Genomic DNA, 9,722 nt, shown 5'->3' with positions numbered 1-9,722 from the left:
CGGCCCACCAGCGCTGCACTCGAATTCTTGCTGAGCCTCAGCTGCCTCTCCACAGGGCAGGGCTCAGGACCTGCAGCCCGCCATGCCCAAGCCTCGCCCCCGCAGTGGGCTCCTGCGCTGCCCAAACCTCCCCGACCAGCGCCGCCCCCTGCTCCGCGGCGCCGGTCCCATTAACTGCCCAATGGCTGAGAAGTGCGGGCGCAAGGTGCCGGACTAGCGGGCAGCTCCGCCTGCGACCCCAGTGCAGGATCCACTACGTGAAGCCAGCTGGGCTGCTGAGTCTAGTGGGGACTTGGAGAACCTTTATGTTTAGCTAAGGGATTGTAAATACACCAATCAGCACTCTGTGTCTAGCTCAAGGTGTGTAAATGCACCAATCAGTGCTCTGTATCTAGCTCATCTAGTGGGGACATGGAGAACTTTTGTGTCTAGCTCAGGGATTGTAAATGCACCAATCAGCACCCTGTCAAAAAGGAACATTCAGCGCTCTGTAAAACAGACCAATCAGCTCTCTGTAAAATGGACCAAACAGCAGGATGTAGGTAGGTCCAGATAAGGGAATAAAAGCAGGCTAGCCCAGCCGGCTGGGGACTAGCCCAGCCGGCTGGGGACTAGCCCAGCCGGCTGGGGACTAGCCCAGCCGGCTGGGGACTAGCCCAGCCGGCTGGGGACTAGCCCAGCCGCCAGGCTGGTCCCCTTCCACAGAGTGGAAGGTTTGTTTTTTCGCTCTTTGCAATAAATCTTGCTGCTGCTTACTCTTTGGGTCTGCGCTGCCTTTATGAGCTGTAACACTCACTGGAGGTTTGCAGCTTCACTTCCTAAGGCCAGCAAGACCACGAACTTACGGGGAGGAACGAACAACTCCAGACACTCGGCCTTAAGAGCTGTAACACTCATCGCGAAGGTCTGCAGCTTCACTCCTGAAGCCAGTGAGACCACGAACCCACCAGAAGGAAGAAACTCCTAATACGTCCGAACATCAGAAGGAACAAACTCCGGACACGCCGCCTTTAAGAACTGTAACACTCACCGCGAGGGTCCGCGGCTTCATTCTTGAAGTCAGTGAGACCAAGAACCCACCAATTCTGAACACACCTTGATTTCATTACCTTCATATTTTTGAAGATTACTGTCTAGTTATTTTATGGAATACTTCTTAATTTGGGATTGTCTGATGTTTCCTCATGTTTAGATTCATCTATGGCAAGAGTTTTATATAATGTTGTTTCTTGTGTGTACTATCAGGTTGATGCACGGTTTCAATTTGTTTCATCACTGATGTTGTCTACTTGGATCACTTGTTTAAGGTGATGACTGTCAGGTTCCTCAATTTTAAAAGTACACCTTTTCACTTTGAAATTAGTATTACATAGAGTTACTCTGAAATCTATGAAAATAATCCTCCCTTTTAACATTTCCATTTATTCATTAATTTTTTCATATCATATGCACTCATGGTTACTTTTGTGTTCAGTTGATTACAATCCATTGCTATCATTATTTATTTTGATGCTCAAATTGTCCCTGGATTTGGCCAGTTTTATTTCATTCAAGCTATCTGCTCTGTGCTTCTGAGATGTTCGCATTTTTCTCTGGGCATTTCCTTACTTTCTGAAAGAAAAATATGGCCCAGGCTTATCTTGTACTTTCCCTGACTCAAACTAGAAATAATCCATTTCTCCAAGGAGCTCTGGCTTTTTTTTTTTTTTAAATCCAATCAATCACCTTGTATATATCCAATCTCCTTCCCCTGCTTCGACTTTCTCTTCTGCATGGAGGCTGTCCTCTCCCTGCTCAGACGCCGATGCTCCCTTCCTGGACGTTTTCCTTCACAATTGCATGGGCTGTCTCCTCAGCCTTCGTGCACTCCAACGCCCCTTGCCACACTGTTTGAACTCCCCAAACCATGATGTTTCTTCTGCAGTGTTGTTATTCTCACTCTGCTTAGGCTCTGTTCATTGAGGCAACCCCTCTTCACTTTTGCTCTGGACATCTACCTCGCTTTATCCAACTAAAACCTCTAGGACTGAAATGCTTAGAAAGGAAGACACTTGTAGTATAGTTTTAATTGGTTGAAAACAATTTTGTGAACCTGGTGAGCCTTGGTGGCACAGTGTACAGAAAAAAGAAGCAGAAGAAAGGATTCTTATTCTCAAGGAGCTTTTCAGGGTAACTGGAGAGACAAAGACAACTCATTTTATCTTTAGAATAACTCTGTAAGGCATAGATTAGTATCCTTATCTGAGCATAGCTATTAAGAATATGATCTTATTTTCTTTGAGGGGATAATTTCTTGGCAGTTTTGGAATACTATAAATGGAACGGAAGAGAAAAAGCTAGTGTAAAAAATTGGGATGCTAAGCAAATTCTAGAAAGACACGGTGACAAATTATGCTTCTTTTTCTGTGACTTTTTTTGGTTTAGAATGAATGAATAGAATAGATGATATCCTTTACAGAAATAGAATCATATTAATTAACATTTTATAATGCTACTAGGAACCTAACAAACCAAGAAGATAACCACACCCTTATAGCATAATAATTCCTTTAAAAAGCCAATTGTTTTCAATTTACAAATAGTATGTCAGACCATGCATGTTGGTGCTTTTCTTTGAGTATTGTAGAATGTTTTCTGATTATTAAATTTAAAAACTAGATATAGTGTCTAAGATAATTCTCAAGTATTTATAATTCAAATGAATAAGAGTGTAGGTAGAAAGGGAAATGCGCAGAAAGCTGTCTGTCACATGAGGAAGGCAAAAAGCTGTGACTATAGTAATCAGGTCTGTTCTTGGTGCTGGTGACAAAAACCTAACCCGAAGCCCCCTAGGCAAATTGAGGGATATACTGGCTCATGTAATCAGAAATTACAGAAATACTAAAGGAAATGGCTAAAAAATAACCATTACATCACTGGGGTTTGCTTTCTTTTCCTCCCTTTCCTGGTTTTCTGTGTATTACCTTAATATTCTTCTACCACCGACCACTTTTCACCGTATGATGGCAGATGGGCCACTAGATGGGCAGCTTCATTGCTGGAGGAAAAGAGACTTTTACCCTCCACAATGTTTTGTAGAAAATCAGAGCAGGACTCTGATTGGCAGGCCATTTATCACAGCTCACACCTTGCTTAGTTCATTTTGCAGCAGAGGGTTTGGGTAAATGTATTATGTTTGTCTAAGTTTGAAACATGTTCTTATATTTAGGGTGTGAAATAATTCAAAGTATCATTATTGAAAGCCCCCTTTGGAACAAATTATAATTATGTAGGTGAAGTAGTTCCCCCTAAAGCCAGAAGAAAGAAGACACCTATTTGCTGGGGAATTACTGTAATCCAGGAAGGCATGCCAATTAATGTTAATTATAATTTCTAATGAGTTTCAGTAAACTCAGTCTGAAGAAAAATAATCTAAACTTGGGGCTCTAGGTAACAGAATGACCCACTTATATATGAAGCAGATTCATAGTACTTGGTGAATAATGTTTGGGATAGTTATCCAACTAGCAGTTTGTCAGCCCACTGTATGGTCCTTTTAAATATATATGTGTGTAATGATGAAAAAGTGCCAAATAGAAAAAAATGTAAAATATATAGGAAATCTATCAGCTCAAATTAGGTGATAAAGCTAAAATAAGTAGGAAAAATAAGTATAAGGGTATACAGTATCTAAGCTTACATGCCTTTAGCACGAGACGAAAAAATTAAAATATAATAATAACAAATATATGGGAAAATTGGAAAATCAAACTCAATATTGAACGAAGTTAGCCACAGCCTGAGTGGGGCACCAGATTGAAATCAATTAGAAGAATTAATTAATGGCATATCTTGAATCCAAGAAAGACCAATCACCTATAAGGGATTCAACCTGTTCATTTTGCAGTGAGAAAAATCACTCTTGATAGTCACAGCTTTGAGTTTTATACCCTTGCCCAAATATTCAGTCGATATGTAAATTTAGCTGTTGATGTGGTAATTCTAATATGCTTGGGATGATACAGTTGTTTTTTTTAGTGAGTTTTCGTTGAAATCTTTTTTTTTTTTAACCCTGGAAAGATTCAGACTTTTGTACAGAAATAATAAAGCTTACTTTACTACAAATCTTTTATGTTCAGAAAAATATGGGTATAGTGGTTTAAAAATATTTTAACTATTTAAGATATTTTGACATATTATTCAAAGTAGTCTTGGGATTACAGTAAAAGTATACAATTAAGTGATTTTATTGTTACAAGTTTTAATTAGAAATATAAAATATAATTTGGATATGTTTGTAAGCAATAGAAAAAATTAGAATAGTTTAAACATTGGCAAACATTTTGCTGACTAAAGGTTTTTAAAGTTAGTAAAAAGGGAAAAAACCTGCATATATTAATATTAACTTTATAAATGCAATTGCAAGATTCAAAAAAGTGATTTTATCAAGCTATAAAAATTTCCCTAAAAGTGATTTTTAGAATTTGTTAGAATGGAAAAGAGTAACACAATTTTTAAGTTAATCTTAAAAACTTAAGGAATGACTTCTGATTCTAGGAAGATAAAGTAGACAGAAAACGAGAGAACTCGTCTGAATTTATTCTATGAAGCTAGAATTAGCCCGACAGCAAAAGCAAAGACAGTACCAAAAAAGGAGTACCACCAATGAATATTTCTCATAAAATGGACTCAAAATTTCTTTAAAAAATACGTGCAAATAGAATTCAACAATGTAACAGTGTAAAAAAAGAATGTTATACTGAGTAGGGTTTATTCCAAAATTGCAAGACTAGTTTAATATTTAAAAAATCAATGTGATCCACCTTGTTTACAAACTGAAGAAGAAAAATCACATAATTATATCAATTCACGCAGAAAAATCAAAATTTGACATCTATTCATAATAAAAAAACTATCAATGCACAAGTACAAATGGAAAAGTTGATAAATTAGAATTTAACAAAATTTAAACTATTTGCTCTGTGAGTTTGTTAAGAGGATGAAATGGAAACCTACAGATGGGGAGAAAGTATTTGTAGACTACATATCTGACAAAGGATGATTGTCCTAGTTCAGTTGTGCTGCTAAAACAAAATATCAGGGGCTGAGTAATTTATGAAAAAGAGAAATTTATTTTCTCTCAGCTCTGGAGGTGGCAAAGCCCATGATCAAGGAACTGGGATCTCGTGAGGGCCTTCACATGTCAGGAGGGGAAGAGCACACTAGCTGAATGCTGCGTGAAGCCTCTTTTGCAAAGGCATTGATCTGATTCATGAGGGAGAAGCTCTCATGGCCTAATAACTATTTTTTTTTTTTTGACGGAGTCTCCCTCTGTCACCTAGACTGCAATCTTGGCTCACTGCAACCTCTGCCCACTGGGTTCAAGAGATTCTCCCACCTCAGCCTCCTGAGTAGCTGGGATTACAGGTGTGCACCCCCACACGCAGCTAATTTTTGTATTTTTAGTAGAAATGGGGTTTCACCATGTTGGCCAGGCTGGTCTCGATCTCATATATGGTCATGTATCTCAGGTGATGCGCCCGCCTCGGCGTCTCAAAGTGCTGGGATTAAAGACATGAGCCACTGCTCCTAGCCCTAATAACCTTTCAAAGACCCCATCTTTTAATAGTATCACATTGGAAATAACTGACTTTTGGAGAGGATACATTATCTAAAATATATAATACAACTTTATATGGGCTGAAATGTGTCACCTCAATATTCACGTATTGAGGTTTTAACCCTCAGTACCTCAGAATGTGACTATATTTGAAGATAGTGTCTTTCAGGAGTTAATTAAGTTAAAATTAGGTCATAAGGGTGGGTCTTGATCCAATATGATTCCTCTTCTTTAAAAAAGAGAAATTTAGGATAGAGAAACATATGGAGGAAAGGCCATATGAAGACACAGGCTGGCTTCCTTTGCCATGCACGAGCCAAGGAGAGAAGCCTCAGAAGAAACCAGGCCAGCTGACATTTTAATTTTGTACTTCTAGCTTCCATACTTGTGAGAAAATAAATTTCTGCTGTTTAAGCCACCCAGTCTGTGGTAGTTTGTTAAGGCAGCCCTAGAAAACCAATACAATTCTCAAAATATAATAGTTAAAAAAAAAAAAAGAAATAATCCAAAGATAACATGGGCAAAATACATGAACAGATATTTCACCAAAGAGGATATATAGATTGCAAATAAGTATATGGGAAGGAGTTCAGCATGGTTTACCATTAGGAGAATGCTAATCGAAACCTCAATGAGATGTTGCTACATATCTACCAGAATGGCTAAAATAAAAAGTATTGGTAATGTCAAATGCTGACATGAATGTGACACAACCTGATGACTTACACTCTTGCTGCTGGGACCATAATGTGATAAACTGATATGACTATAATGGGAAATATTTTCAGCTTCTTAATAATAAACTAAGCACATAATTACCATACAACCCAGCAATGCACTGTTGGGCACTTGTTCCAGGGAAATGAAGAGTTATTTCACACAAAAAGTGTGTACACAAATTTTTATAGGAGGTGTATTTATAATAGCCAACATTAGGAAACAGCTCAGTGTTCTTTCAATTGATCAATGAAAAGACAATGGTACATTCATGCAATGGAATACCACTCAACAGTAAAGAAACAACATATCAATACTTATACCATCCTCAATGAATCTACCCAAATTATGCTGAGTGAAATAAAAAGCTATCTCAAAGGGTTAAACACTCTATGATTCCATTATATAATATTCTTGGAATGACAAAATTATAGGGATGAAGAATATATCAGTGGTTGCCAAGGTTAAGTAGCTGAAAAATGGGTAAGTAAAAGAGAGTTCTAAGTAGAAGAGAAATGGATGTGGCCATAGAACAGCAACATGAGGATTCTTCTCGTGATGGAAATGTCCTATATCTTGATGCATCAATGGCAATATCGTGGCAGTGATACTCTGTTGTGGAAGATGTTACCATAGAAGAAAACAACCTTTTTTGTCATACAGATCTTTTTCTGTTTTATTCTGAGACACTTGCTGATTTTTGAGATTGAGACATTCTCCCTCAATTACAATAACTATCACAATAGTTCACAAAAACTATTACAATAGTTTCTTTTACAAAGTTTCTCTTTATCTAAGTCCAGACTTGTTCTTTTTGTTTGTTTGTTTGTTTTTAACAACTATCTGGACAGCTGAAGAATCTCACTTTCAAAAAGACAGAAGAAGCACTTTATATAATATCTTGATGTTACATTTGATTAGGAATTTCAATTAGGAAAATAATTTGACCAGTCTCTACCTTTTGTTTACTTAAAATGATCGTCTAGTCCCAAGCACTTAAAATTATCATCTGGTCCCAATTAAAGTAATCAAGTTATGGAAGGCCAAGAGAGAAAAACCATTTCAAATTTTGGCAGGTTCTGACAAAATAACAAACTGGAAACAGAACCATAAGCCAAGATTTATATATTACAATTTAGCGGGCATATCATCAAACCAACTGCATGCTAATTCTTCATTTCAGCTGCTATTCCAAATTAATTTCCAAATATTTTTCTTGCTTTGATCAGGATTGGCTGTGAATCAGAATGGGCTTCACCTTTAGGGGAAAATCTGCAATACTTCTAGTTAGGTCAGCTGGGAAATTAGGAAATAGACACAACTAAAAAAGAGCTAAATTTTATTATAAACAATTTATATGAAAATACAGACACTAGTTATCTCAAAAATACACAATCTTTTATCTCAATATCAGCAATTATAAGAAGCACACTAATTCGTCATCTCCAGGGACATTGTGATTGCTTCCCAGTTTTGATGATCATGAGAAATACCATAAGACCACTGAAAGTTGGCAAAAATTTATACTGACACACACAGACTATGAAAAGTATCTCTTGGCTGGGTGTGGTGGCTCACCCCTGTAATCCCAGCACTTTGGAGGCTGAGGTGGGTGGATCATGAGGTCAGAAGTCAAGACCAGCCTGGCCAACATGGTGAAACCCCGTCTCTACTCAAAATACACACACAAAAAATTAGGCGGGCATGGTGGCTCATGCCTTGTAGTCTCAGCTACTTGGGAGGCTGAGGCAAGAGAATCTCTTGAACCCGTGAGACGGAGGTAGCAGTGAGCTGAGATTGCGCCACTGCACTCCAGCCTGGGCGACAGAGCAAGACTCTTCGTCTCAAACAAACAAACAAACAAACAAACAAAAAAAGAAAGAAAAAAAGTATCTCTTTATGCTACTGAGTCTGTGGTTCTCATGGTACTTCCGGAGTTGCCACTTGAAGGAAACTTGTGTTTGCTGAGCAGAGATCAGCTTCCATCTCAATCGACTCCAATTTCAAGGATTTTCTAGAGGTTACATTCTATTCAGTGAGGTGATCTGATTTAGGTCAATATCTCTAACATCCAAATTAAAGTAATGTCTCTAAATCCCTATGCACTTTACTGCACCTTCCTCCAAGAATTTTTTTTCTGTATTATCTCCTTACTGCATAGGGCAAAAATAATGTTTTATTATTGTATGTAGGACTACAGAGTACGGACTGCCAAGAAGCTCATATCATATTGTAATTTAATTGCCTGTCTTCCCTCAAAGTCAGGAGCCATCAAAGACCCAACAGCTGTATGTTCCCTGGTACATTGTGGGTAAATTAGTATCTGCTGAGTGAGTGACAAGGCAAGGGATGTAGAGTCATAGCAAGTGCACTCTGGGATCTGGAGACTGAAACTCTTTCTGTGTACACTGCACTTTCCTCTTGCCACTTACTTCTAACCTATTTAGGGTCCATGGCTTCTCATTTCTGCTCTGATGGCTGAATTCATTATTCATTTTATTGACATTTAAAAATTTTAGTTATTGTAATTAGTTATTGTAATACATGATTACTTTCTCCCTCTAAAAATTGATGAATAATAATAATTTATCTCTAAATCTAAAGTAGTTGTTTGACACCTCCCCTCTCTTTCAAAATCATCTTATTCTTTCTCTGGAAGTCTGTAACAGTAACACTTTATATGAATCTTTCAGATGAAGGAGAGATGTTTAAAAATATTTATTTAGGGATAGATGGAGGAGAGAGTAAAATAAGAAGGGAAGCATAAAAACATATAGCAGATAACCTTATACATAGTAATGCTACAAGTATTTTTGCTGCCATTATTTCATATATTTCATACATTTTGCTACAACTTGCCATTTTCACTCAACAATATTCTTGGAATTCTCTCCTTGGTGGCTCCATTAGTTCCGTGGTATCTGACTTTCCCACTTTGTGTTTCCAAGTGGCTGATTCCTGTAACCTCTCCAAGTTTCCATACAAAGCTTTCATTTAAGACTTTATTCAGGGCCACAACCTTAGCACCCAATGACCTTGACTTACTTACTGTCGACATTACCCCACCCGTAGTCATTCCCTGCCTTATTCAATAATACAACATGTTTTTCAGTGTGTATGTTGTACTTTCTTCTTTCTTACTATAAATAAATAATGAGAAAGTGAATACTCTTCTAAGAAAATAAATGTCAAGACCTTTGGAGCATTCACACATTAAAACAACTGCTGAGTCATAATGAGTATTTCATTTTTCTCCCTTTGATTATGTCTGACTGAAAATTCCCACAAAATCTTAAGTAACTTTGTAAAATAGATGAGGTTCTCAAAAAAAACTGGTTTTCATATGTATAGCATTCACTTGGGTGCTGAGAAAATGTCATAACCGAATAGAGATCTTTTTTTAGCC

The sequence above is a fragment of the Homo sapiens genome, chromosome 3 (genome assembly GCF_000001405.40).
Source record: "Homo sapiens chromosome 3, GRCh38.p14 Primary Assembly".
In the NCBI taxonomy this organism is placed as follows: domain Eukaryota; kingdom Metazoa; phylum Chordata; class Mammalia; order Primates; family Hominidae; genus Homo; species Homo sapiens.
The sequence above is the reverse complement of the archived record's forward strand: the minus strand, read 5'-3'. Positions refer to the sequence as shown.